Genomic DNA, 26,974 nt, shown 5'->3' on the forward strand with positions numbered 1-26,974 from the left:
AGACCCCTACCAAATCCTCAGGTCTGGGATGGGCCCTGGGAATCTGTATTTTCAACTGGCAGACCAGATGATTCTGATGCATGAAGTTCAAAGATCACACTTTGAGAAGCACAGAGTAGACAAAGGCCATCAGGCATTCATGAGCAGACAGGGAGACTGGGTGTCCTCCTAGCGGGCAAGCTGCCAGGCCTGAGTTTCCTCCCATGTCAGCTCCCTGCTCTTACATTAGAGCTGCCTATTTAAGCACAGTGAAAGTTGAAAAGGCTGGGCTTTCTTATGAATATAATTCCCACATGACACACATTCATCTGCTTTCCCCATCCACCACATTCTCTGCCCTAAAGGTCCTGAATTTGCAACAGTGGATATCTGCTCACTGCCACTGGGACCTACTCTAACAGGGACTTCCATCTGCAGTCAAGTTACCTACCCTCTGCATCATTTTCACAGATGAGAGTCCCTAAATGACTGGTCAAGGTCTTTGAGGGGTGGGCCAGGGACATCAGGAGTGTGAAGGCGTCATTACCCCCAAACAATGGCATGGAGCAGATTCCTCCTATGCATTCAGTAGCCTGTATAGGATTAGTATATCAGAAGGCCCCATGCTATAGCCCTTTGATCACCAGTGTCAAAGGCATGAACATCTTTTGCTGAGACAAAGTAAGCCTCTCTGTAACTATAGTAATATTTTCTTTTTAGAGGAAGAATCCCAGCAAAGGGTGATGAAGGTTCCCTAAAGGTCCTCAGACCACTGCGGTCTGTCCTGAGGCTGTCCTTGGAACTCTCTCTCCCCTCCCTGGCTCCCTCTCACAGAGTTGCCCCTAGACCACGGGCTCAGGGGCCTCCAGTCAAAGCTGCTGACTCTGACCATGCATGGTGCTGCTGAGGGTGGAAGAGCTATATTAGGCTCCAGGCCATTCACAAGAGGATTAGGCGTGGACTGAGGGTGCAGTGGGAAAGAGGCAGCAGGGAAGGCCCAGCTCTACTCCCAGAGCATTCGCCATGCCCTACCTGCTGTCAGGATTCTTCTGTGACTGTGTGATCCAAGAGAGGGACAGGAGAAATGGAGAGGGCACCATCGCACAGCCCCTCAAGTTTGAGGGGCAGGATTTTGTCGTTCTCAAAGATGTCTGGCCCAGAAGTGCCTCTTTGAAGATTGTGTGTTCCTAGCAGGTGTTCAGGCCCTGGCCTCCCATGAGCTGAGCCACAAAACCAAGATTTAGGCCATCACATGGAAAAGGCCAAAGGTAGGGATGGAGGGGATGGGACTTCAGGAGCCAGCTCTTGGGGAACAAGAAGCCAAGTGATCCAGAGCCTGAGGCCATGGATCCCTCCTCTGGGCAATTGACTTATCAAGGGTCTCTTTATCCAAAATACCTTTCTGCTCCTTCCTGAAACTGGAGATGTTATTTTCTATTCCTGAGCTAGAGATTATTATAATACTTTATGGGTCCCTGAAATCGTAAATATTTTTAGGGAGCTAATGCATTGTAATCGAATATCATGTCTCTTTTTTTTTTTTTTTTTTTTTTTTGAGAGAGAGACTTGCTCTGTCACCCAGGCTGGAGTGCAGTGGCTTGATTATAGCTCACTGCAGCCTCAACCCCCCAGGCCCAAACAGTGATCCCACTTCACACCTCAGCCTTCCAAGTAGCTGGGACCCCAGGCATGTGCCACCACATTTTTATTTGTTTAAATAAAAATTTATTTATTTATTTATTTATTTATTTATTTATTTATTTATTTATTTATAGAGATGGGGCCTCACTATGTTGCCCAGGCTGGTCTCAAACCCCTCGGCTCAAGCAATCCTCTTGCCTAGGCCTCCCAAAGTGCTGGGACTACAGGCAAGATCCATTTCACCTGGTCTCATGTGTCTTTTTCAGAGCAGGTGTTTTGGGGTGGGAGAGTAGAGTGGTTAGAAGTACTAAGGCTCACAGTTTCCGGGAGAGTTCTGTGGAAGGTGGTGAACAGTAAAGAAATGGAAGGATGGAGACCTGCCTTCTTAATCTTTCACCTAAGGCTTGTTCATTCATGTGCTGTCGCTTCTGTTTAAACAGAAAGGTCCGTGCTGAGCAGCCAGACTCCTTACGGGATGAAGCAGTTTGTGTCAGGCTACCTTATGGCGCAACCGAGAAGCCCCTTGTGTCAACTTGAGTGGGTGAAAGTGCTTGGGAGTGTGTAGCACAAGGCCCTTCTTCCTGCTTGGAGAGGCTCAGAGCTCCAAAAAGGGTTCACTGCATTTAGAGCAGGCAAGAAACTCTCTAGACCAGTAGGCTCTGAGGAGGGCATATACAGCCCAGTAGATCTGCAAGATGATCCATTGGAGTGGATGAAAAAACTATTAGAAGTATTTATATCTATTTTTTAAATAAACTGTAAATTTCAGAATGGTTTTAGATTTACAGGAAAAAATTGTGAAGATGGTACAGAGTTCTCATATACCTTGCAGCCATTTCTTCCTATTACCAACATCTTGCATTAGTACAGTACATTTGCTACAATTAAATTAGCCAGTGTTAATATATTATTATTAGCTGAAGTCCATACTTTTCCTTAGTTTTTTGTCTGATGTCCTTTTTCTGTTCCAAGATCCCACCCAAGATATGACATTACATTTAGTAGTAACGTCTCCTTAGCCTTCTCTTGGCTGTGACAGTATCTCTGCCTTCTCTGGTGTTTTATGACCTTCACAGTTTTTTAAAGAGTACTCGTCAGGTATTCTGTAACATAATGACCCTCAATTGGCATTTGTCTGCGGTTTTTCTCCTTATGGGCTTAAGGGTTTGGGGGAGGAAGACCACAGGGTAAAGTGCCGTTTTTGTCACATTATATATCAAGGATGCGGGCAATAAACATGCCTTCTCATTGTGGTGTTGACCTTGGTCATGTGGCTGAAGTAGTGCTTGTCAGGTTTCTTTACTGTGAAGTTACTTCTTCCCCTCTTTTCATACTATACTCTGGAAGCAAGACACTAAGCATAAGCCCATACTTAAGCAAGGGGGAATTGTGCTCTGCCCTCTTGAGGGCAGAGAATCTGCATCAATTATTGGGAATCATTCTGCATGGGAGCTTTGTCTATTCTCCCCATTTGTTTATTTATTCAGTCACTTGTTTATATCAATATGGACTCATGGATCTTGATTTTTATTTTAAGTCGTAATCCAATACTGCTTTATTTTGTTGCTTAGGTTGTCCCAGCTTTCTTCACTGGGAGCTCTCAGTTGGCTCCTGTGTCTATTTAACATACCCTAATTGTTTGTGGGTTTTTTTTTTTTTCCTTGAGCACTTTCTTACTTTCTGGCACTACCAGCTCATAATGTGTATCTCCTGCCCCAATCCTAGAATCAGTCATTTCTCCAAGGAGCACTGGTTTCTTTTATTGAAAAAGGTATTAGATATCAAGATCTGGTTGCTAAGTCTGCTCATTGCTACCGGAGTGTGATTGCTTCTGTTCCTCTCAGCTTGTAGAGAAAGGAGATATGTGTGTGTACTAAGCCAGCTGTATACACATATCTATAATATTTCTATGTATAACCATCTCACATATCTGTAAATATTTCTATATAAAGCCATTTGTATCTATACTAAGCTAAACATGAGTTCACACTGACATAACTAAATATTTCTTGGCTTAGTGTGTTAATATAAAAGGAATATTTTTAAATTTCGAATTCCAGTTGTTCATTGCTGGTATATAGAAAACTAATTGGTGTTTATATACTAACTTGGAATCTTGCAACTGAGCTATACTCACTTATTAGTTCCCAGTGGATTTTTTTGGGTCATTTGTTTGGAATTTTCTACATAGACAATTGTGTCATCTGTAAATAAAGATAGTTTTTTTTTTGTTTCCAATATTTATATCTTTCATTTCTTTTTCTTATCTTGTTGCATTAGCTAGGACTTCCAGTAGGACACTGAATAGGAGTGGTACAGGAGGACATCTTGCTTTGTTCCTAGTCTTAAGGGGAAAGCATCTAGTTTCTCACCCTTAAGTATGAAGTTAGCTGTTATTATTTTTGAAAGTGGATGATCGTTACCAAGTTGAGGACATTCTCCTCTCTTCCTAGTTAGCTGAGAGGTTTTTTTAAATCATGAATGGGTGTCAGATTTTGTCAAGGGCATTTTCTCCATCAATTAATATGGTTATATAATTGCTTTTCTTAGCCTGTTGATGTGGTAAATTACATTAATTGATTTTTGAATGTTGAACAAACCTTGTACCTCAAATAAATCCCACTTGGTCATGGTGTCTGTTTATACATTGTTGTATTTGAGTTGCTCATATTTTGTTGAGGATTTTGCTTCTATGTTCATAACAGATATTGGTCTGTAGTTTTCCTTTATTAGAGTATCTTTTACTGGCTTGCATATTAGGATAATGCTGGCCTGATAGAATGAGTTAGGAAGTGTTCCCTCTGCTTCTATTTTATGGAAGATATTGTGGAAAATTCATATTATTTCTTCCTTGAATATTTGGTAGAATTCATTAGTGAAACCATCTGGTTCTGGTGCCTTCTTTTTTGGAGGGTTATTAATTATTGACTCAATATTCTTGATAGGTATAGTGCTATTCAGATTATCTAATCCTCGAATGAATTTTGGTAGCTTTTGTCATTCAAGAAATTTGTCAGTTTCACCTGTTATCAAATTTGTGAGCATGGAGCTGTCCATATATTCCCTTATTATCCCTTTAATGTCCAAAAGTTCAGTAGTGATTGCAGGAGTCTGTCCTGCAGACCCCAGCTCGTGCGACGGATGAATAACATACCAAGACACCAATATTTAGTGAAAGAGCAGCTAGGGGTCCAAGCCGCTCACAGATACTAAGGAAGGTGCTGTGAAGAGTCAGCAGCCACGGCCCTGACTAGCTAGCCCTGTGGGCATTTATTTAGCACAGTTTTAATGACAAAGGCTTTGAGTCAACACACCTGTGGGTAATTAATCTGGTTGCCCCCACCCCGGGGGGAGCTATCCTGCCGTGAGTGATCAAAAGTTAGTTTTAGGACCACATGAGTAAACAAGCTCTTTAGATAAACTCCTCTACATTCCTATGTATCTGTGCCCTAAGCTATTAAGTGGATTCGGCTGCCTTCAGCCAAACACTTTATGCAAACCTCTAGGCCTTCCAAGAGGGTTTGTGTTTATATCCTATAAATTCATCTTAAAATTTTTGCCACCAGCCTGACTGAACTCCCAAAAGTGATAACCTCTCCTTCATTTTTAATATTAGTAATTTGTGTTTTCATTTTTCTTGTTTAGCATGGCTAAAGGTTTATCAATTCTATTGATCTTTCCAAAGAACCATTTTTGTTTTCATTGACTTTCTATTGTTTTCTTGTTTTTTATTTCATTCATTTCTGCTCTGATTTTTTATTGTTTCTTTTCTTCTGCTTGCTTTAGGCTTAAGTATCTCTTCTATAGTGTACTAAGATGGAATATTGCTTATTGATTTTTCTTTTCTTTCTTTTCTAACTTATGCATTTAATGCTATAACTTTCCCTTTAAACACTGCTTTTGTTGCATCCCACAAATTTTGATGTTATATTTTTATTTTCACTTAGTTAAAAACATTTTGTAAGTTCTTTTGAAATTTCTTCTTTGACCCTTGTGTTATTTAGAACTGTGTTGTTTGGTTTCCAAATAATTTGGGATTTTTCAACTATCTTTTTGTTATTGATTTCGAGTATCATTCCACTGTGGTCTGTGAAGACACTGTAGGCTTTCTATTCTTTTAAATTGGTTGCCGGACGCAGTGGCGCACCCCTATAATCCTAGCACTTTGGGAAGCTGAAGCAGGTGGATCATGAGGTCAGGAGTTCGAGACCAGCCTGACCAACATGATGAAACTCCGTCTCTACTAAAAATACAAAAATTAGCCAGGCATGGTGGCATGCATCTGTAATCCCAGCTACTCAGGAGGCTGAGGCAGGAAAATCGCTTGAACCGGGAGGTAGAGGTTGCAGTGAGCCAAGATCGCACCACTGCACTCCAGCCTGGGTGACAGAGAGGGACTCTGTCTCAAAAAAAAAAAATTGGTTAAGGTGTGTTTTATGGCTCAGAATGTGTTCTGTCTTACTGACTTGTTACCTATGAATTTGAGAAAATGGTTTGTTCTGCTATTGTTGGATGTAGAATTCTATTAATGTCAATTTGATCCAGTTGGTTGATAGTGTTGTTCAGGTCAACAATATCCTTATTGCTTTTCTGCCTGCCTGCTTGATCTATAATTACTGAAAGAGAGTGTTGACATCACCAACTATAATACTGGATTTGTCTATTTCTCCTTTCAGTTCTATCACTCTTTGCCTCATGTATTTTGACACTGTTGTTAGGTGCACACACATTTAAGATTGTATGTCTTCTTGGAAAATTGACCAATTGACCTTTTCATCTATATGTAATGCCTCTCCTTATCTCTGATAATTGTCCTTGTTCTGAAGTCTGCAGTTTCTGAAATTAATACAACTCCAACTTTCTTTTGATTATTGTTAGCATGATATATCCTTCTTTATCTATGAGTTTTTATATTTAAAGTGGGTTTCTTGGCCAGGCATGGTGGCTCACGCCTGTAATCCCAGCACTTTGGGAGGCCAAGGCGAGCACATCACCTGAGGTCAGGAGTTTGAGACCAGCCTGGCCAACATGGTGAAACCCCATCTCTACTAAAAATACAAAATTAGCCGAGCATGATGGTGCATGCTTGTAATCGCAGCTACTCAGGATGCTGAGATGGGAGAATTGCTTGAAACCGAGAGGCGGAGACTGTGCCATTGCATTCCAGCCTGGGCGACAAGAGCGAAACTCTGTCTCAAAAAAATAAATAAAGTGGGTTTCTTGCAGACAACATATAGTCGAGTCTTGTTTTTATCCACTTTCACAGCCTTTGTCTTTTAATTGGTGTATTTTGATCATTCACATGTAAGTGATTATAATATAGTTAGATTACTACCTACATGTTTATAACTGATTTCCATTTATTGCATTTGTTCTTGTCCCTGCCCCTTTTTCTGGCTTCTCTGATTTAACTGAAAGTTTTATATTTTATCCTATTTTATCCTTTTACCTCTTCTTTTTTGTCTTTTTTTTTTTTTTTTTTTTTTTTTTTTTGAGACAGGGTCTGGCTTCTGTCACCCAGGCTGGAGTGCAGTGGTATGATCTTGGCTCACTGCAACCTCTGCCTCTTGAGCTCAAGCAATCCTCCTATCTCAGCCTCCTGAGTAGCTGGGACTACAGGTGCATGCCACAATGCCAAACTAATATGTTTGTATGTGTGTGTGGGTGTGTGTGTATGTGTGTATGTATATATATGTATGTGTATATATATATGTATGTATATGTGTGTGTATATATATATATATGGCCCCATTCTTCTCAGCTTCATGGAGTCTTGGCATTCCTGTGACACAGTTCAAACGGGGTCTCTCCCCCCACCTTCCCCATATATATATATATATATATATATTTTTTTTTTTTTTTTTTTTGTAAAGATGGGGTTTTGCCATGTTGCCCAGGCTGGCCTCAAACTCCTGAGCTTAAGCAGTCTGCCCACCTTGGCCTCCCAAAGTGCTGGGATTACAGGTGTGAACCACGGCACCCGGCCTTATCTCCTCTCTTGGTGTATCAATTATATTTATTTTTTCAATTCTAGTGGTCATGCTAGAGTTTCCAGTATACGTTTTCAACCAAGTCCACCCTCAAATAACACTATACCATTTAGTTTGTACTCTAGGTACTTTATAACAGAGAACAAAGTATTACCATTTCCTTCCTTTCTTTGCTTATGACATTACTGTCATTTGTTTCTCTTATCTGTATGCTATAATTGCCCAATACATTGTTTTTATTATGATTTAACTAAGTTACCCTTTAGATTAAGAATTTAAAATCAAGATTTTATTTTATCTTCATTTATTTATTTCCTCTCCAGTGCTCTTCCTTTCTTTATGTGGGTCCAAGTTCCTGACCTGTATCATTTTTCTTCTCCCTAAAGAACTTCTTTTAACATTTCTTGCATGGCAGGTCTGCTGGCAATGAATTTCCTCTACTTTTGTTTGTCTGATTAAGCTGCAGAATAACAATATTAATAATATCACTACCAAAATAATTCCTGAAAACAGTTTACAGTCTTTCCATAGGCTTTCTTCTTTCTCCTTTGATTTAAAATGGTTTTAAATAGTTGTTCATTGCCCGAACACTATAGGCAATATATTACATACTTTACATCCTCCCTTTAATCATCAGGTACTTTGTTGGGTTTTTGTTTTTTCTGAGACAGAGTCTCACTCTGTCGCCCAAGCTGGAGTGCAGTGGTGCGATCTTGGCTCACTGCAACCTCTGCCTTCAGGCTCAAGCAATTCTCCTGCCTCAGCCTCCCGAGTAGCTGGGACTACAGGCATGAGCCACCATGCCTGGCTAATTTTTGTATTTTTAGTAGAGACGAGGTTTCGTCATGTTGGCCAGGCTGGTCTCGAACTCCTGGCCTCGTGATCCGCCCACCTCAGCCTCCCAAAATGCTGTGATTACAGGTGTGAGTCATTGCACCCGGCCATCATGTAATTTTAAATCTACAAATAACGAAATACTGACTACTTATTCTCAGTCCTTATGTTAGTGTCCTTCTATACCTGGTTGTCTGAAGGTTATTCTCTAGTATATTCCTCAGGAAGAGCTCGTGGGAACAATATTCCCTGAATTCTTATGTATTAGAAAAGTTTGCCCACATCCCTTATTCTTGAAATGAATAAAGGAAGTCATATTGTATATACATCCTTGGTTCACATTTTCTTTCCTTGAGCATCTTAAATATACTGCTCCAATTTCTTCTGGCATAAAAAGGCCTTGCTACTGGAAAGTCTGATAATAATCTAATGTTTTCCCCTTAAAAGTCACTTGTTCTTTCTCCCTAGATGTCCAAACAATGTTTTTTTTTTTCTTTGAATCCCAGTAATTTTCTAGAATGTATATTCATGTTGGTCATTCTGGGTCAATATTCAATTTGCCCTTTCAATCAATATGTAGTATTAAATATGTGTTTTTATTTAAGGAAAAATATTTTCAAATTATAGTGGGGTTTTTTGTTTTTGTTTTTGTTTTTTTGAGACAGAGCCTCACTCTGTCGCCCAGGCTGGAATGCAGTGGTGCAATCTTGGCTCACGGCAATCTCTGCCTCCCAGGTTCAAGCGATTCTCTCACCTCAGCCTCCCAAGTAGCTGGGACTATAGGCATGCGCCACCATGTCCAACTAATCCTTTTAATCTTTGTAGAGACGGGGTCTCACTATGTTGCCCAGACTGGTCTCGAACTCCTGGCCTCAAATGATCCTCCCACCTTGGCCTCTCAAAGTGCTGGGATTACAGGTGTAGGCCACCACACCTGGACAATATTATTATTTCTTATGGTTCATATTTCTTAGTATCTTCATAACATTCAAGGTTCATATTTCTTTATGGTTTTGGTTTTTGTCCTTAGGATATATTCCAAAAGGGATAGACAGCCAAAATGTTACATTTTAAGTGACTTGAAGTAATTATTTTTCTGTGAATGGTTATGCAGTTAGGTCCCTTTGCTTCGGTTTGCTTTCAGCTTTTACAGATGGCTTTTTAAAATAATTTTTTCTTTAATTTTGGCTCTTAATTATTTAAAACTTTACATGATTCCTAAGTCAAAACTATTTTTAAACAGTTATATTCAGAGTTCTACTTCCATCCCTATTTCTACCACCTTATTCCTTCCCTCCCCATATAGGTAAACGTTTTTGAAAACGATTGTTTTGGTTTATCCTTCCATTCCACTCAGAGTTGCAGATGGGACGCATGCTGTGGGGTGTAGCATAAGCAAGACTTTCCATCTACTAGGAGTATACACCCCTGAGTGCAGGAGCTTCAGCTCACTTGGGTATATTGGGTTGTTGTGATGGGGGTTGGGGGAAGGTGGAGAGAGAGACCCTGTTTGAACTGTGTCACAGGAATGCCAAGACTCCATGAAGCTGAGAAGAATGGGGCTAAAACCAGATCACTAGCCTGGCGCGGTGGCTCACGCCTGTAATCCCAGCACTTTGGGAGGCCAAGGCTGGCAGATCACTTGAGGTCAGGAGTTCGAGACCAGCCTGGCCAACATGGCGAAACCTCATCTCTCTCTACTAAGAATATGGAAACCACCCATGGTGGCACACATCTGTAGTCCCAGCTACTCGGGAGGCTGAGACAGGAAAATTGCTTGAACCTGGGAGGCAGAGTTTGCAGTGAGCCGAGATCGCGCCACTGTACTCCAGCCTGTGTCGCCCACTGCACTCCAGCCTGGCGACACAGTGAGACTCTGTCTCAAAAACAATACAAAACACTGAATCTATATTTTATTTATTTTTATTAATTTATTATTATTATTATTATTTTGATTCTCCTGTCTCAGCCTCCCAAGTAGCTGAGATTACCTGTCACCACGCCTGGCTAATTTTTGTATTTTTAGTAGAGACAGGGTTTCACTATGTTGGCCAGGCTGGTCTTGAACTCCTGACCTCAAGTGATCCACCCGCCTTGGCCTCCCAAAGTGCTGAGATTACAGGTGTGAGCCACCACGCCCAGCCGACACTGCCCTAACTCTCAAGTTGCATCCTTACTCGAATAGTATGACAGTGTGGGAAGCAGCATGGGACAATGTAAAAAGGAGGCATGTTTCTGGCTTCTGCTACTTACTAGCTGTGTGTCTTTGCACGAGTTTCTTAACCTCTCTGGGCCTCAGTTTCCTTATCTGAAAAATAACAATGATAGTATTCCCTTCACAGGGCCAAATGGAATACTATCAGGAACACTACATAATGGAACTCAATAAATAATAGCTACTGCGGCCGGGCGCGGTGGCTCACATCTGTAATCCCAGCACTTTGGGAGGCCGAGGCGGGTGGATCACAAGGTCAAGAGATGGAGACCATCCTGGCCAACATGGTGAAACCGTATCTCTACTAAAGATACAAAAATTAGCTGGGCATGGTGGCGCATGCCTATAGTCCCAGCTACTCGAGAGGCTGAGGCAGGAGAATCACTTGAACCCCGGAGGCAGAGGTTTCAGTGAGCCAAGATTGCACCAGTGCACTGCAGCCTGGCGACAGAGTGAGACTCCGTCTCAAAAAAATACCTATCTATCTATCTGTCTATCTACTGTTATTCTTACCTGGTCATTTCCTTTTTGTTTCACAGGAAATTTGCGAGAATCCCCGATTTATCATTGATGGAGCCAACAGAACTGACATCTGTCAAGGAGAGCTAGGTAGGAAAGTGCCTCAGGTCAGATCCTGCCAGATGATCAAGGGGTGATTACAAGGTGTGATCCCCTTCCAGGAGGTAAAGGGACAATCTGTGCTTGCTTCCAGTAACTTTTTGGAAGATTTTTTATAACAGTTGCTTTATGGTCGTTTATCTACATGCTGGCGATTGCTTCATTTCCTCCTACATGCCTCTTTAGCACTCTGCCATGCATCACAGGGGGTATCTGCATCCTGTGGCCTCCTCTCCAGTATCTCAAGGACACTTACATACCCCACTCAGCATGACAAAAGCCCTGCTTTTCACTGTATCGTCTTTCTTGGAAGACAGCTCTGTGACTGTGCACCAAGCATGCCCCTTGGGCATGGAGATTCTAGATACACACACAAAAGGCATCGCCAAGGAAAGCACTTGTAACTGGAACCCTTGTTTAAATTGCCCCAGCATAGCTCCATCTTAAAAGAGTCTTTCCACAAAGATGGCATCCGCCATGTGGATGAGCATCCAATTTTCTCTTTGATTGGTTAGCTTGACTGCTCCATCTGATCTTCCTCTCTCTCGACCTCTTGTTCAGAAAGTATTGTCTTTGGTGTGGACTATAAGCAAGCTCTGTGAAGTAAAATTGGAGAGAACACCAACAGAAACAATTTAAATTTGAGGAAAAGGGGGCACCTAAGACCAAAGGAATTTGGCTTATTTCATTCCAGAAGGGGAGGCTGAGAATAAATCAGATGAATATCTGGGTTCCTGCACCTGAGGGAAGGCTTCCTGCAGAGCCCTGGGCATAATAATCTGGGACCTTCAAACCAATAACCTCTTTCCAAGGAAAGACTGGCTGCTTCCAAGGAGGGTAGGGGAGAGTGGCTGCAGGCAGCTCTCAGTCTCCCCTGCACACTCTCAGTTGCATTTCACTTAACCCATCCTCCTTAGAAGGCAGCTCTGTGACCAGGTACACCCCCTATTATATATATATATACACACACAGAGAGAGAGAGAGAGAGAGAGAGAGAGAAAGAGAGCAAAGTGTTACCTCCAACTACATACAGTACTCTGTCAGAAAAGAGGTTCAGAGAATAAGAAAACGTCCCGAGCTCATTCCGTTGCCAGCAATGTCTTACTGCCCCCTATAGACGGGTTCCAGGGCAGCTGCCTACCTGGCCTTCCTTCCAATACAAATCATCTTGGTGGATGGTTCTCTGAGGCTCAGTCTTCGCTGAAGTCAGAAGAGGAATTGGACTCACATTGCAAAGGCACAGGGCAGGGCAGATTTCCTACAGGTGTTAGGAAGAACAACCCAGTTATGATCACCTACTGCTCTGTCTCCATTGAGGCCTAAAAAGGAAGTGAGTTTATACTGCAGTTGGAGGAACTGCCTGCAGCCTTGAGGAAAATGTCTAGTCACAAGGGAGTAAGTTACCTGTTGATCATATTGTCAAGGAATTCCTGTCCAATTCTCCTTCCCTGGGTTGACACCTCTGTAAGGTCAGATCTGGAAGTAGGAGAGTGGGCACCAAGGGAGTCCCCGTTCAGGGAAGTGGAGTGGCTGGCTGGGATTGGGGCTTTTTCTTCCCAGGAGGAGCAGGAGTGCTCACGATCTGTGCCCTGTGTCTGCCTGCAGGGGACTGCTGGTTTCTCGCAGCCATTGCCTGCCTGACCCTGAACCAGCACCTTCTTTTCCGAGTCATACCCCATGATCAAAGTTTCATCGAAAACTACGCAGGGATCTTCCACTTCCAGGTGAGGTAATGAGAGTGTAGTTAAGAGGGCCAGCGGCAGGCCACCCACCGCTGGTCTCCTGGCCTTGACTTCCCAGAAGCTGGAGGAAACTTCCCACCCATCTACCCGCAGCGGCAACAGTCGGCATGGACCCCCTTAAGGCTTCAAGCCTGGGAGGAAGCAGTTGCTTATCTCTGGCTCCCTAATCCCTCCCCCACCACCTTCCACTATGTCCCAGAAAGACAGGAAGACATCCTGTTTACTGTGGGTCTATTTTTGTCTTTGCAGCTGTCTGGCTGCTTTTATTGCCTGCAGCCCTTCTCAAGTAGGTCCCTAAGATATTAGCACTGTGACACCACAGGACCCTTCAGGTTGTACAGGAACCCCTGTCCAGGGCTCCTGTATACTTCTTCCTCTCTAAGGCATGGCGGTACCAAGGCTATCACTCCTCTCTTCCAAGCCCTGGAAGAAGAGTCTGCTTAACCTGGGGATCAGGCTTCTTGTTTGCCCTAGAACTGAATCTGATGGTTCTAGAATCCATCCAGCTACTGGAAATTTTCTGGGTCCCAGTCACCTTGGCATAGAGCTGGTGCTAGAGCAGAACCAAACTGAATTCTACCTGTGAGGGTCTCGTAGCTTCCGGGATGCTGGGGAGTCAGCCTGTCTCCAGCTTCAAAGGCTCCCTCATGTCCCAGGATGACCCACATTATCAGTTCTTGCTCCCCGGGTCTTGCACCTCAGCACGGAAGGCCTCAGAAAAGGTCTGTCTCCAGGCTCAGACTCCCCCTCCTGCCGCCTTGGGAACATGGCATATTTAAAGGGTCTCAGATCTAAAGGGCCTTACATACAAATATCAGATAGATTTCTGTTCTCATTTCAATGAGGGAGAAAGTGCCATTGAAAAGGAGACTAAACCACATTTGGCCCTTTTCAGTTCAAACTGATTCATTCAAAAAAGAGCGACATCCAAACTTGAAATGATTGAACAATGTTCCTGCTACAGCTAGAATAGATTCTGGGTCACTTTGTTCCTCCGTTTCAATCCTTGTTCTTCAGTTTGGCATCAAGAAATACCTAAATCAGCACAGTGCCTTCACTGCATAGTTCCCAATCCTGGCCACATTGAATCAGCTGGGGGCACCTGAGAGTGCTGACACCCAGGCCCTGCCCCAGACCTGCTGAGCAGGAGAATGAAAATCTTACATCCTAAGACACTCATGGAGCACCTACTCTACCCATTACTGGGCTGGACTCTGTGGAAGACATGAAGTATATGTAACTCACTTCCAGCTCTCAAAAAGCACCCAGTCCAGTTAGAGACAGATTTACACACCCCAAACACAAAATAGGATGAACAGGCACCCAGATGCAGAGTCCAGGAAATGATGCTGCTTTGGGATTCAAGAACCCCCTGAGGAATGTGGAGGAAGGACACATTTCCTAACAGTAATTTGAGTATGTGACTCTGTGCGTGACGCTTCTGTGCAGTTCTGGCGCTATGGAGAGTGGGTGGACGTGGTTATAGATGACTGCCTGCCAACGTACAACAATCAACTGGTTTTCACCAAGTCCAACCACCGCAATGAGTTCTGGAGTGCTCTGCTGGAGAAGGCTTATGCTAAGTAAGCAACACTTTAGAATGTGAGGTGGGGCTAGAGGTGAGAAAGTGGGTTGCAAAATCCAGCCGAGACCTCACTCACAGGAAGAGGCATGTGCCTCTATACGTGCATATGTGTGGGCATGCAAGTCCAACTGTGACCCAAAGTTAGAGATCAGTTCCAGGCAACAACAGCTCTAACTAAAAACATTAAATTTAAGAGTAGAAATGAAGATTTGCATAGAAGACCTTTAGCTTTAGCTTACCATAGCGAGTTCTTTCATTGCACCTCCATGGTGGCATTGCAAGTCTTGGATCAGAGCATTGTATCTCTGGAGCTCAGATCCCAGGGTCTCGCTTGGCTCAACCTCATGTGCTTATAGCAGATTTATAAAGCCATGTTGTCTCTCAACTTAAAAGCTCCACCCCAGATGCTAATAATGGATTTTTTAAATTTTTTTGAAACAAGGTCTCACTCTGTAATGCAGGCTGGAGTGCAGTGGTGCAGTCACGGCTCACTGCAGCATTGACCTCCTGGGTTCAAGGTGCTCCTCCCACCTCAGCCTCCCAAGTAGCTGGGACTACATGCGGGCATCACCATGCCCAGTTAATTTTTGTATTTTTTTGTAGAGACGGGGTTTTGCCATGTTGCCCAGACTGGTCTCGAACTCTTGGGCTCATGCAATCCACCAGCCTTGGCCTCCCGAAGCGCTGGGATTGCCGGTGTGAGCCACCACACCGGCAGCTGCTAATGGCTTTAATGCAGCCCTTCCTCAACGTTCAGGATGTAGTGGAAAGAGCTCTCAGGAAGTGGGGATAGCTGGGTTTCAATCCCAGTGCTTCTGGCTCTCTGTGGTCTTGGGTGGGTCACTTAGCCTCTTGAGCTCAGTTTCTTCATTATGAAGAAAGGGAATCATTGTTTCCATCCCATGAGCTCATAGGGTTAATGTGGAATTGATGAAAGAACATCACAGCATCCAAGAGGTAAAGTTCTGGTGGCAGTGGTACCTGGGTTTTGTTCCCTGGAACTCTGTGACCCCAAATTGGTCTTCATCCTCTCTCTAAGGCTCCATGGTTCCTACGAAGCTCTGAAAGGTGGGAACACCACAGAGGCCATGGAGGACTTCACAGGAGGGGTGGCAGAGTTTTTTGAGATCAGGGATGCTCCTAGTGACATGTACAAGATCATGAAGAAAGCCATCGAGAGAGGCTCCCTCATGGGCTGCTCCATTGATGTAAGTCTGGGGTGTGGGGCACAGGGTGGGGAGCTCCAAGTGTCAGGAAGCCTTTTACCCAATGAAGGGCAGCATAGAGCTTTTGTGTGGGACAGAGCGAATGTTTTGTTTGAGGAAGCAGGAACTGGCTCTCAACTTTGAGGACTGGGAATTTCTCAAGGGAGAACAGTTCTTCCGGATTTTCAATAAAGACACTGGTCAAGGACATTTCAAGCCCTGGAATGTCAGTGGAAATCAGTCCAGAGGCCTGTGTCAGTGGAGGCCTCCCTTGCTGGTGCTCCTCAGTCTCAGCACGCTCCCATTAAGCTGGCCACGTACTTGGCTGTGGACCTGAGCCCACCATTTCCCTAAGAAAGCCTCCCAGTCACTGGGCTTTCACCACACCTCCCCGCTTGAGACGTGGGCTTTGTGTTGTTACCTGGGAGAAGCTAAGCCTGCAGCACCTTTCAGTGCAAAGAAATGCTGTGAACTGAGACAGGAGCCAAGGGTAGGGAGATGGCCGCCCATGGCCAGGCCTCCTTCAGGGGGCATGCCTTCCCTGAGGGCTGCTCAGTATATTGATATGATAATCTTAGTGGTTTCCATTGGGGAGGATGGGGCTGAAGCTGAATTCCTGCCCCTTCTTCTCCCAACACGCCCAATGGACAGCTTGGAAGGTCAGTTAGCACACAACACCATGGATGAACTTTTTTTCTGTATCACTTTTCTCCGTCTTTCCTCCATTCGTGCTCTGTTGATCTCTCCTCTCTCCCTTTGTCTGTCCCATCTCTTTCTCCTCTCTCCTTCCCTTTCCACCCTTCTGTGTTTGTTCTCTCCCTCCCCTGTGTTGTTCCCTACATTCTCCATCGGGCCTCAGGATGGCACGAACATGACCTATGGAACCTCTCCTTCTGGTCTGAACATGGGGGAGTTGATTGCACGGATGGTAAGGAATATGGATAACTCACTGCTCCAGGACTCAGACCTCGACCCCAGAGGCTCAGATGAAAGACCGACCCGGGTGTGTACACCTCCGATTATCAGAACTGACCATCCCTCCAACCCACATGACCCCGCCCTATTAGTGTCAGACTCCCCTCAGCAGCCAGGGCCTTACCCACACACCCCCACCTGGCACCTCCCAAGGGTCTGGGTTGAAATAACTTGCTCAGCCAAGGCTCCTGAAGAGGGTGCAAGAACCAGGATTTTGGAGGGAATCTCTGCTGGAGTTTCTGCATATTCCATGGTCCAGGCAGTTCCTCTCATAACGAACTATCAGACAGAAATACTTGTAAAGATACTTCATTTATTTTGAAATATTTTTCCTCTTCTAATGTATTCATTTATTCATTCAACACTTATTTTTGAGCTCCTACTATGTTCCAGGCACTCCTCTAGCAAACAAAGCAAATTCTCTCCTCTTTTTCAATATTTGTGGAAAAAGCAAGGTCTCCCTCTTGTAGAGTTTATATTCTAGTATTTTCATAAGTTATACCTGCTCACTGGAGAATACTGAGCCATACAGAAAAACACAGAGGAAAATTTCACTTATATTTTTCCCCATGTAAAGATAACCACTCTTAACATCTAGTATATGTTCTTCCAGGATTTTTCTATGCACACACTGAATCTGTATTTTTATTTTTAAAATGTTATCATATTGTATGTACCTCTTTGCAGCCTGCTTTTTTCAGTTAGTTTTTTTTGTTTTTTTGTTTTTTTTTTTTTTTTTGGAAACCAAGTCTTGCTCTATTCCCTAGGCTGGAGCACAGTGGTGCCATCTCGGCTCACTGCAACCTCTGCCTCCAAAGTTAAACTAATTCTCCTGCCTCAGCCTCCCGACATAGCTGGGATTACAGGCACACACCACCACACATGGCTAATTTTTGTATTTTTTAGTAGAGACGGGGTTTCACCATGTTGGCTGGAATGGTCTTGAACTCCTGACCTCAAGTGATCCACCTGCCTCAGCCTCCCAAAGTGCTGGGATTACAGGTGTAAGCCACCACACCCGGCCTAGTTTGATATTCTTAATGTGCCCAAAGTATTCTCCTGTAACATTTTTTAATAGCTACACAATATTCAAACACACAGATATGTTATAATTTATTTACCCAATACCCTATTATTGGAAAGTTGAGTTCTTTTTTTTCTTTGTTTTGTTTTGTTTTGCTACTATTCTAAAATGCTATAACGAACATCCCAATAGATACATCTTTGTATACATCCATGGTGACTTCCATAGGACAGATTCCCAGCAGTAGAATTGCTGGGTTGAATGATATGCTTAGGTAATGACAGAAGAGTCATTTCAAGCAGCTTCCTAGGTCTAGAACTAAGGATTAATGAGTCTCCCGCCCCCTCCCAGTCTATTCAGCATGATCTGGATCATGAGGACTGAGATCTGGAAGAGACTGAGATCTGGGAGAGGCTGAGATACCAAAAGCCCTGGCTCCACCCATACCCCTCGCCCTGAAAACAGCTCTAGGAATTCCGCGGCCTAGCAAGGCTCCGGGAAGCTCCTTTTAAAGCTGTTACGTTAGTAGGCACATGGAAGCCATAGAGAGCCTATCCAGGGCTCATGGGACTTTAGTGATCCTGCCCTTCTGCCAAGGATCCCCCATGGCTGCAACTTGGAAATTTCTGCAAATGGAAGAGCTACTCCTTAGGCACGGTCATGTCTGAGCAGGGATCTCCTCGGGCTTTCTTAGAATTCTCTCCCTGGGCACTGGGACTCTTGATTTCTTGAATATTATGTTCCAGGTGGGTGTGGAGGAGGTGAGGGGATGTAAAGAAGGCTAGACTTGGCCAGGCGCAGTGGCTCATGCCTGTAATCCCAGCACTTTGGGAGGCTGAGGCGGGTGGATCACCTGAGGTCAGGAGTTCGAGACCAGCCTGGCTAACATGGTGAAACCCCGTTTCTACTAAAAATACAAAAAATTAGCTGAGCATGGTGGCACGTGCCTGTAATCCCAGCTACTCGGGAGGCTGAGGCAGGAGAATCGCTGGAACACGGGAGGCAGAGGTTGCAGTGAGCCGAGATCGCGCCACTGCACTCCAGCCTGGGCGACACAGCAAGACTCTGTCTCAAAAAACAAAAAAGAAAGAAAAAAAGAAAAAGCTAGACTTACATGTGTCACTTAACCCCTTTTCTCAACCTCTTTCTCTTCCAGGAATAGTCAACCCTGGATGGCTTCAGGGGAAGGGGGATCCTGAAGCCCAGGGCAGCCTCCAACTCTACCCCTTCCTCCTTTGAAGGATACTAAGGGGTCCAGAAAGGAGGGGCAGGACACTGTTACCCACCCCACATCCCAGCATCCACATTGCTCTCTGATGGTCAGGACAGAGCCTTCTCAGGGAGACCAGCCTGTCTGGAGCTGTGTCTCTTGGCACTCTTAAAGGGCCACTGAAGGTCCGTTCGTGGTCGTGAGGCACACTTTCAGGGAGCAGAGTGGTCTGTGTCTTCACAGAGCCCGGAAAATGAACTAGTATGAACTTTGCCTCCAAGCAGCAGAACTTCTGTTCCCCCGCCCCTAATGGGTTCTCTGGTTACTGCTCTACAGACAATCATTCCGGTTCAGTATGAGACAAGAATGGCCTGCGGGCTGGTCAGAGGTCACGCCTACTCTGTCACGGGGCTGGATGAGGTAAGCCTGGTGGGGCTTGGTGGGGCAAGGGCACCCTCCTGGGTTAACCTCATGAAGTCAGGACTTAGCTGTTGGGGCCCCTTCCCTGTCTGCAGAGCTTGCCTCCAATCAGGACATTCAGTTCAAGGTCCAAGCCACGCCTGGGAGCAGAGGGGCCTGTGAAACTGGTAGAGGTGGATCCTGCCACAGTTGGTGCACAGTTTATCTTTGCTTTTCGTGCTAAAGATGGCAATTTTTCCAACATTTCCAATGAACAAATTGAAATATCACTTAACTTTGCTTTTACAAAGTTGGTTTCATGTGTTCTTGAGCTTCCTGTTCTCTCGTGTTCAGATAGCTACAGTTGTCTCTGGGTAGCCACGGGGACTGGTTCCAGAAGCCCCAACAGTAACAAAATCTGCAGATGCTCAAGTCCCTTCTGTAAAATGGAGTAGTATTTGCATATAACCTATGCACATCCTCCCATATACTTTAAGTCATCTCTGGATTACTTACGATACCTAACACAATGGAAATGCTATGTAAATAGTTATTGCACTGCATTGGGTTTTTTTGGTATTATTTTCTGTTGTTGTATTATTATTTTTTCTTTTTTTGAATATTTTTGATCCACAATTGGTTATATGCCAAAGCCATGGATACGAGAGGCTGACTGTTCTGTTTTGCTCCTTCTGGGACTTCTGGGTTTTCCTGGACCATGTCTGAGACAGGAACGTTGTAAGACCTGTTGCACACAGTTGGGCAGGTTGTGCCCTGTACAGAGGGATGGGCTGAGAGGGGCAGTTGCCTGCATCACCCATTGCAGCAGACTGGAGGGAGTCTGCTTGTTTGTAGTTCCTCAGTCAGCAGGGGCCTTTTGTCTTTCTTTCTTTCTTTTTTTTTTTTTTTTGAGACGGAGTCTCACTCTGTTGCCCAGGCTGGAGTGTAGTGGCACAGTCTCGGCTCACTGCAATGTCCGCCTCCTGGATTCAAGCGATTTTCCTGCCTCAGCCTCCTGAGTAGCTGGGATTACAGGCGCGTGTCACCATGCCCAGCTAATTTTTGTATTTTTAGTAGAGATGGGGGTTTCTCCATGTTGATCAGGCTGGTCTCGAACTCCTGACCTCGTGATCCGCCCACCTCGGCCTCTCAAAGTGCTGGGATTACAGGCGTGAGCCACCACGCCTGGCCAGCAGGGGCCTTTTTTCTAATTTATATGAAGACACCTAATTTATATGTGTTAGCAGGGCCCTACTGTTTATGCCTCACCTCCTCCCCCGAAGCTCATAACGGCAGGATGTTCCTGAGAAAATTGCCTCTTAGAAGATAGAGAGGAGATGGCCAAGCCCTAAGTTAGGCAGACTCAGGAGGAAAGGTCTGACCCACCCCCTGCCATTCCCCAGCACACTTGTGATTAATCTCCTTGGCCAGAGCCAGGCAGAACACCCTCGCGTAAGAGATTTGCCCCCCAGCCCCGTCCCAGCCCTCAGCAAGACAGAAGATTCCCTTTCCAGAGAGGCTGCAGAGCATGAGAGCTCTTTCTGTGTGCTTAAGGTCCCGTTCAAAGGTGAGAAAGTGAAGCTGGTGCGGCTGCGGAATCCGTGGGGCCAGGTGGAGTGGAACGGTTCTTGGAGTGATAGGTAGGTGAGGGGACCCCACGGGATTGGCGGTGGCGGGGAACAGGGTCCGGGACAAGGCTGTGTTGGGAACTGAGCCATGAGAGTATTGAAGATGCTTGGTATAAAATCACCCTCAAAACCAATGATCCGCAGAGAAGAGGGGCACAGGTGTTGGCTCCAGGGAAGGGCCAGGAGTGGAAGCGGGGTGCTGGGGACCCAGAGAGGTTGCTGACAACCATTGGCTGGAAAGGAAGGATTCCAGAAAGCGTGGGGAAGGTCCAGGCAGGAAAAGCGTATGAATGCAGGGTTCTGGGCTAGAGAAGTGACTTCCCTTCTTGGGGTCTTGTGTTGCCTTTCCTGTGAAATGGGAACAGTATTATTAGCACTTACCTTGTGGGCTGATATGAGGAGTAAATGGGACTGTTTTTGGCAAGTGCTGAGCCATTGCTAAGATTCCCTTACCCGTGCTGTCCCTGTATAAAGGCACAAGGGCCCTTTGAAAGAATTTTACTGCTTATCATTGAAAGGAATAGACTGGGGGCAACAAAAATAACAAACATGCGAAGTTATTATGAAGGCTCCAGCACATTTGCAAAACCTCCATGGTCCTACTGGTTCCTGATTACCTCCACTGAATGAGAGGCAATTCATTACTGAATGAGCCATAAGCGCCTCTTATTTCGAGAGGGGGATGGCAGGACTCAGTAGAGGAGAAGGACCGCACCCAGGCAGCCTGGGCCCCTCGGCTCCTGTACTTATATACTGCTGGGTACTTCTTAGCCCAGCATGTAATTACTGGTTCGTTCAGTCATTCGTTTAGCAAATGTTTCTTGGGCACCTACTACATAGGAGGCACAGGTCAAGGCACTGGGGATATTCTGTGAACCCATAGCCTCCCTTGATACACTGTGATTAGGGGCTGATCCTCATGTCCTGACTGCCTCCTGCAGACATTCTCATGCCTTCCTTCACCTATGCACGCTACACCTATCCTTACTTCCTCAGTGCTGACTTCTGCCAGGCCCTAGGCTACCCACCTGGGGATGTAGAAATGTAGAAATGAACACAGACACGTGGGCCCTGTGCCTGTGGGTTTAAGGTCCGGGGAAGGACAGGCAAGCACACACTAATAATTGAGATGAGTGCCACAGTAAGGATCACAAAGAGGGGGCCTCTGCACCTAGTTTGGGTGGGAGGGGAGGCGTAGAGAAAGGTTACCTGGAGGGAGTGACATTGGAACTGTGCTCTGTGCTCTGGGAAGGCCCTCAGTGACTCCTCAGTTGTCTACTTCACTGGCCCAAGTCACCTGCAGGGACGCTTGCTGTGTTCTCCAGCCTCAGAGCTTGGTGTGCAGCCCTGCCCTGCTTACCATGATGCTGCCATCACAGGGGCTGGAGACAAGTGGACCCAACGCTGTTCACTCAAGGAGATTCCCTTTGCTGCATCCCTCCTCCTGGTCTCAGGAATCTCCATGTCCCCTGCAGTGTTCTCTGACTGACTCCAAGCGCTTCCTCCACCCCTTACCTTTCCAGGGAGCACCCAGTTTAGTTGAATTCTCCTCTGTGAGCCTGAAACACACATGCACTTTATTGCCACCATAGTGAGGAGAGAGAGTGTGAAAACTGCCCAGCCTTTAGAAGCACAATGCTTGATTATTTCCCAGCACAGGAAAGGAGATGTTTACAGACTTGGCCTTTTTCCTTAGTAAATCAGAGTTTCTTATTATATGACAGACACTATGCTAACAGCTTTGCATGCATTATTGCATCTGCCCATCCCAGCCCTGTGAACAGGTGACATAATCATTTTCCTTTTGCAATTGAGGAAGCAGAGTCTGACAGAGGTTAAGTGACCTGCCCAAGGTTGCATAGCTAGCCCTATTATTAAACGGAACTCCCAGTTTGTCTATGTCCAGAACCCATTTTTTTTTTTTTTTTTTTGAGACGGAGTCTCACTCTGCCACCCAGGCTGGAGTGCAATGGCGCGATCTTGGCTCACTGCAACCTCCGCCTCCCGGGTTCAAGTGATTCTTCTGCCTTAGCCTCCTGAGTAGCTGAGACTATAGGTGCCCGCCACCACGCCCAGCTAATTTTTGTATTTTTATTAGGACGGGGTTTCACCATATTGGCCAGGCTGGTCTCGAAATCCTGACCTTGTGATCCGCCCACCTCGGCCTCCCAAAGTGCTGGGATTACAGGTGTGAGCCATTGCGAGCAGCCCAGAACTCAATTCTTAACCTTTAAAGTATGATGAAAAGAAGGATCAAGCCCTCACCAGCCCATTTAAGGAGTTTAGGCTCAGTCTTGAGGATGTGAGAAGTCATTGCTATTGGGTTTCACACTGAGGTTAACAGGTGAAGTCAGCATTTTGGTAGTTCACAGCAGCTGCAACTCTTTGTATTTCTCTGATACCTCCTGTCCCAACCTACATCAGGCCTTCCCTTCTTCCTGCTTCCTTAATTCCTCCATTTTCCCACCAGATGGAAGGACTGGAGCTTTGTGGACAAAGATGAGAAGGCCCGTCTGCAGCACCAGGTCACTGAGGATGGAGAGTTCTGGTGAGTCCAGAACCCAGGAAGACCCAGAAGGGTAAGGGTGGGGAAGAGAGGGGAAATCTCAGACCTCAGTCCCCAGCTAAGGTTATCAGATTCCAGCCCTTGGGAGATCTGGGCTGTGTTCTCCTCCAGCCCAAGGCCCAGCAAGGATGAGGTTCTGAGAGGAGCCTTCCAGGCCACAGGGACAACTGAGCCCAGGACCAGGCCAACATGACATGGCTCTTGCCTCCTGTGTGCCCCTCCGCCACACACTCTATTCCAGCCACAGGCACCCTGGCCTTAGCACAATTCTTTTCTGAGCCTAGGAAGCTCCACTTACCCTGATCTTCCAACGTCAACCTCACCCTCTCTCAGGTTGTTTCTATTCAGGCTTCAAGTCTCAGCTTAAGGAGAATTTTCAAGTCTCAGCTTAAGGAGAGCCCCCTAAGTTCCCCGAGGACTGGGATTAATTTATGATGCTCATCACCCTTAAAATTGTTTGCTTAAGCCGGGCGCGGTGGCTCACGCCTGTAATCCCAGCACTTTGGGAGGCCGAGGTGAACGGATCACGAGGTCAGGAGATCGAGAACATCTTGGCTAACACGGTGAAACCCTGTCTGTACTAAAAATACACAAAAAAAGTAGCCGGGCGTGGCAGCGTGCGCCTGTAGTCCTAGCTGCTGGGGAGGCTGAGGCAGGAGAATCACTTGAACCTGGGAGGCAGAGGTTACAGTGAGCCCAGATTGCGCCACTGCACTCCAGCCTGGGCGACAAGAGAGACTCTGTCTTGGAAAAAAAAAAAAAAATGTTGTCTTAGTATAATGTCAAGGGAAAGGTTTTTTGTGTTTTTATTACTTTATTTTTTATTTAAAAACTATAATAGAGACGGGCCTCGCTATATTTCTCGGGCTGGTCTCAAACTCCTGGGCTCAAGCGGTCCTCCCACCTTGGCCTCCCAAAATGCTGGCATGTGGGCCTGGTCAACATATGGGACCCCAACTCTACAAAAAATTTTAAAATTAGCCAGATGTGGTGGCGTGTGCCTGTAGTCCCAGCTACTTGGGAGGCTGAAGCAGGGGGTCACTTGAGCCCAGGAGGTTGAGGCTGCAGTGAACTATGATTGTACCACTGCAGTCCATCCTGGGCAACAGAGCAAGACACTGTCTTAAAAAAAAAGTGCTGGGATTACAGATGTAAGCCACCACACCTGGCCTTCTATTTTTTATGGATATATCATAGCTATATATATTTTTGGGGTACATATGTACCCATATTTTGGGGGTACATATGTACCCATATTTTGGGGGTACATATGATATTTTGATACACATATACAATGTGTAATGATCAAATTAGGGTAATTGAGATACCATCATCTCAAATATGTATCTTTTCTTTGTGTTGGGAACATTACAATTCTTTTCCTCTAGTTATTTTGAAAGATATATAGGCTGGGCGTGGTGGCTTATGCCTGTAATCCCAGCACCTTGGGAGGCTGAGGCGGGCAGATCACTTGAGGTCAGAAGTTCAAGACTAGCCTGGTCAACATGGTGAAACCCCATCTCTACAAAAATACAAAAATTAGCCAGGTGTGGTGGTGTGCACCTGTAATCCCAGCTGCTCAGCTGGCTGAGGCAGGAGAATCCCTTGACCTCAGGAGGTGGAGGTTGCAGTGAGCCAAGATCATGCCACTGCACTCTAGCCTGGGCAACAGAGCGAGACTCTGTCTCAAAAAATACACACACACACACACACACACACACACACACACACACACACACATATATATACACACATATATATACACACACATATACACACACACACGTCTGTATATATATGTGTGTGTGTATATATACACACACACACTATACTATAAATTCTTGTTTAGCTATGTTTGTCTTACTGTGCTATTGAGCATTAGAGCTTTTTTTTTTTTTTTTTTTTTTGAGACAGAGTCTCACTTTGTCGCCCAGGCTGGCATACAATGGCGCAATATCGGCTCACTGCAACCTCCGCCTCCTGGGTTCAAGTGATTCTCCTGCCTCAGCCTCCCAAGTAACTAGGATTACAAGTGCCCGCCATAATGCTCAGCTAATTTTTGTATTTTCAGTAGAGATGGGGTTTCACCATGTTGGCCAAGCTGGTCTCAAACTCCTAGCCTCAGGTGATCCACCTGCCTCAGCCTCCCAAAGTGCTGGGATTACAGGCATGAGCCACAGCACCCTGGTGAGCACTAGAGCTTATTTCTTCTATCTAACTGTATTTTTGTATCCATTAGCCACCCTCTTTTCATCCTCCCCTCTCCTTCCCTTCCCAGCCTCTGGTAACCACTGTCTGCTCTCTACTTCCATGACATATGCTTTGTTTTAGCTCTCACATATGAGTGAGAGCATGCGACATTTATCTTTCTGGCCCTGGCACATTTTTGAATCATTGTTAGAAAAGATGATGGTTTGGAGTAGATACATCAGAAGTGACAGCGTTTGCCCTAAAAAGGAAAGACAGGCTCCTCTGGGACCCTGACCAAGTTCCTGTGAACTATTTTATTATTGTGCTGTGTTAGTCCTGGGGTCTTCCGTTCCCAGCCCTCCTCACCTGCTCCCATATGGCTCTCTCTCTTCTTCCAACCTCTCAGGATGTCCTATGAGGATTTCATCTACCATTTCACAAAGTTGGAGATCTGCAACCTCACGGCCGATGCTCTGCAGTCTGACAAGCTTCAGACCTGGACAGTGTCTGTGAACGAGGGCCGCTGGGTACGGGGTTGCTCTGCCGGAGGCTGCCGCAACTTCCCAGGTGGGAGATGCTCTTGATGGGGGGAGGGTCTAAGCCGAAAAAGTTCCAGGCAGAAGAAGCCTAACTAGTGCTTATTAAGTCTCTCTGTTCCAGACGTCCACTATCTTATTAAACCTTCCCTGTTTTACTGAGAAGGAAACCACCATGCTGAGAAGTTTGCAATAGGGAGCTGGTAGCAACTTTGAAGCAGGAAACTGTGGGAACAATGCAGATGCTGCTTGACTTACGATGAGGTTATGTCCAGATAAGCCCATCCATCTTTGAAAATACCCTAAGTGAAAAGTGCATTCAATATGCCTAACCCACCAAACATCATAGCTTAGCCTGGCCTACCTTAAACATGCTCGGAACACTGACCTTAGCCTAAAGTTGGGCAAAATCATCTAACTCAAAGCCTATTTTACAAGAAAGTGTTGAATATCTCATGTAACTTACTTAATACTGTACTAAAAGTGAAAAACAGAATGGTTGTACGGGTACTCGAAATCCAGTTTCTACTGAATGTGCATCTCTTTCACATTGTAAAGTTAAAAAATTGTAGCCGAACCATCCTAAGTCAGGGACTGTGAGTACTGTGTCAGTAACAGTAAGGGCACTATTGGAGAA

At 45.3% G+C, this 26,974-nt stretch overlaps 1 protein-coding gene and 1 long non-coding RNA gene across 4 annotated transcripts in view, besides 3 other annotated features; one reads left to right on the forward strand and one right to left on the reverse strand.

Moving 5' to 3' along the window:
* The window catches only part of CAPN3 (calpain 3), a 52,817-nt gene that overhangs the window by 13,784 nt on the left and 12,059 nt on the right, over positions 1-26,974 (forward strand). For 2 of the 3 annotated variants that reach the window (NM_000070.3, NM_024344.2), the window contains exons 2-10: positions 11,199-11,268; positions 12,883-13,001; positions 14,469-14,602; positions 15,644-15,812; positions 16,669-16,812; positions 19,355-19,438; positions 20,972-21,057; positions 23,516-23,593; positions 26,208-26,368. In NM_000070.3, the coding sequence (NP_000061.1) occupies positions 11,199-11,268; positions 12,883-13,001; positions 14,469-14,602; positions 15,644-15,812; positions 16,669-16,812; positions 19,355-19,438; positions 20,972-21,057; positions 23,516-23,593; positions 26,208-26,368 (1,045 nt within the window). The remainder of the gene's footprint in view (positions 1-11,198; positions 11,269-12,882; positions 13,002-14,468; positions 14,603-15,643; positions 15,813-16,668; positions 16,813-19,354; positions 19,439-20,971; positions 21,058-23,515; positions 23,594-26,207; positions 26,369-26,974) is intronic. The other variant, NM_173087.2, reaches the window with a different exon arrangement.
* Positions 11,202-11,757: an enhancer, noted in NCBI's record as "OCT4-NANOG-H3K27ac hESC enhancer chr15:42676684-42677239 (GRCh37/hg19 assembly coordinates)". NCBI's record gives its function as "activates a minimal SCP1, AML or CMV promoter by ChIP-STARR-seq in naive and primed H9 embryonic stem cells {active_cell/tissue: H9 hESC(naive and primed)}" and the evidence as "EXISTENCE:reporter gene assay evidence [ECO:0000049][PMID:30033119]".
* Positions 11,263-12,747, reverse strand: LOC105370794 (uncharacterized). Its single transcript, XR_932178.3, has 3 exons — positions 12,682-12,747; positions 12,419-12,535; positions 11,263-11,873 (listed from the first exon to the last, which is right to left on the reverse strand). It is a non-coding gene; the product is annotated as an uncharacterized LOC105370794 (long non-coding RNA).
* Positions 11,444-11,626: a silencer, noted in NCBI's record as "fragment chr15:42676926-42677108 (GRCh37/hg19 assembly coordinates)". NCBI's record gives its function as "represses an EF-1alpha promoter that drives an FKBP-Casp9 reporter gene in an ReSE screen in HepG2 liver carcinoma cells {active_cell/tissue: HepG2}" and the evidence as "EXISTENCE:reporter gene assay evidence [ECO:0000049][PMID:32094911]".
* Positions 12,252-13,451: an enhancer, noted in NCBI's record as "BRD4-independent group 4 enhancer chr15:42677734-42678933 (GRCh37/hg19 assembly coordinates)". NCBI's record gives its function as "activates an origin of replication core promoter dependent on BRD2, P300/CBP, MED14 and CDK7 cofactors, and independent of BRD4, by STARR-seq in HCT116 cells {active_cell/tissue: HCT116}" and the evidence as "EXISTENCE:reporter gene assay evidence [ECO:0000049][PMID:35650434]".

Source organism: Homo sapiens, chromosome 15 (genome assembly GCF_000001405.40).
Source record: "Homo sapiens chromosome 15, GRCh38.p14 Primary Assembly".
In the NCBI taxonomy this organism is placed as follows: domain Eukaryota; kingdom Metazoa; phylum Chordata; class Mammalia; order Primates; family Hominidae; genus Homo; species Homo sapiens.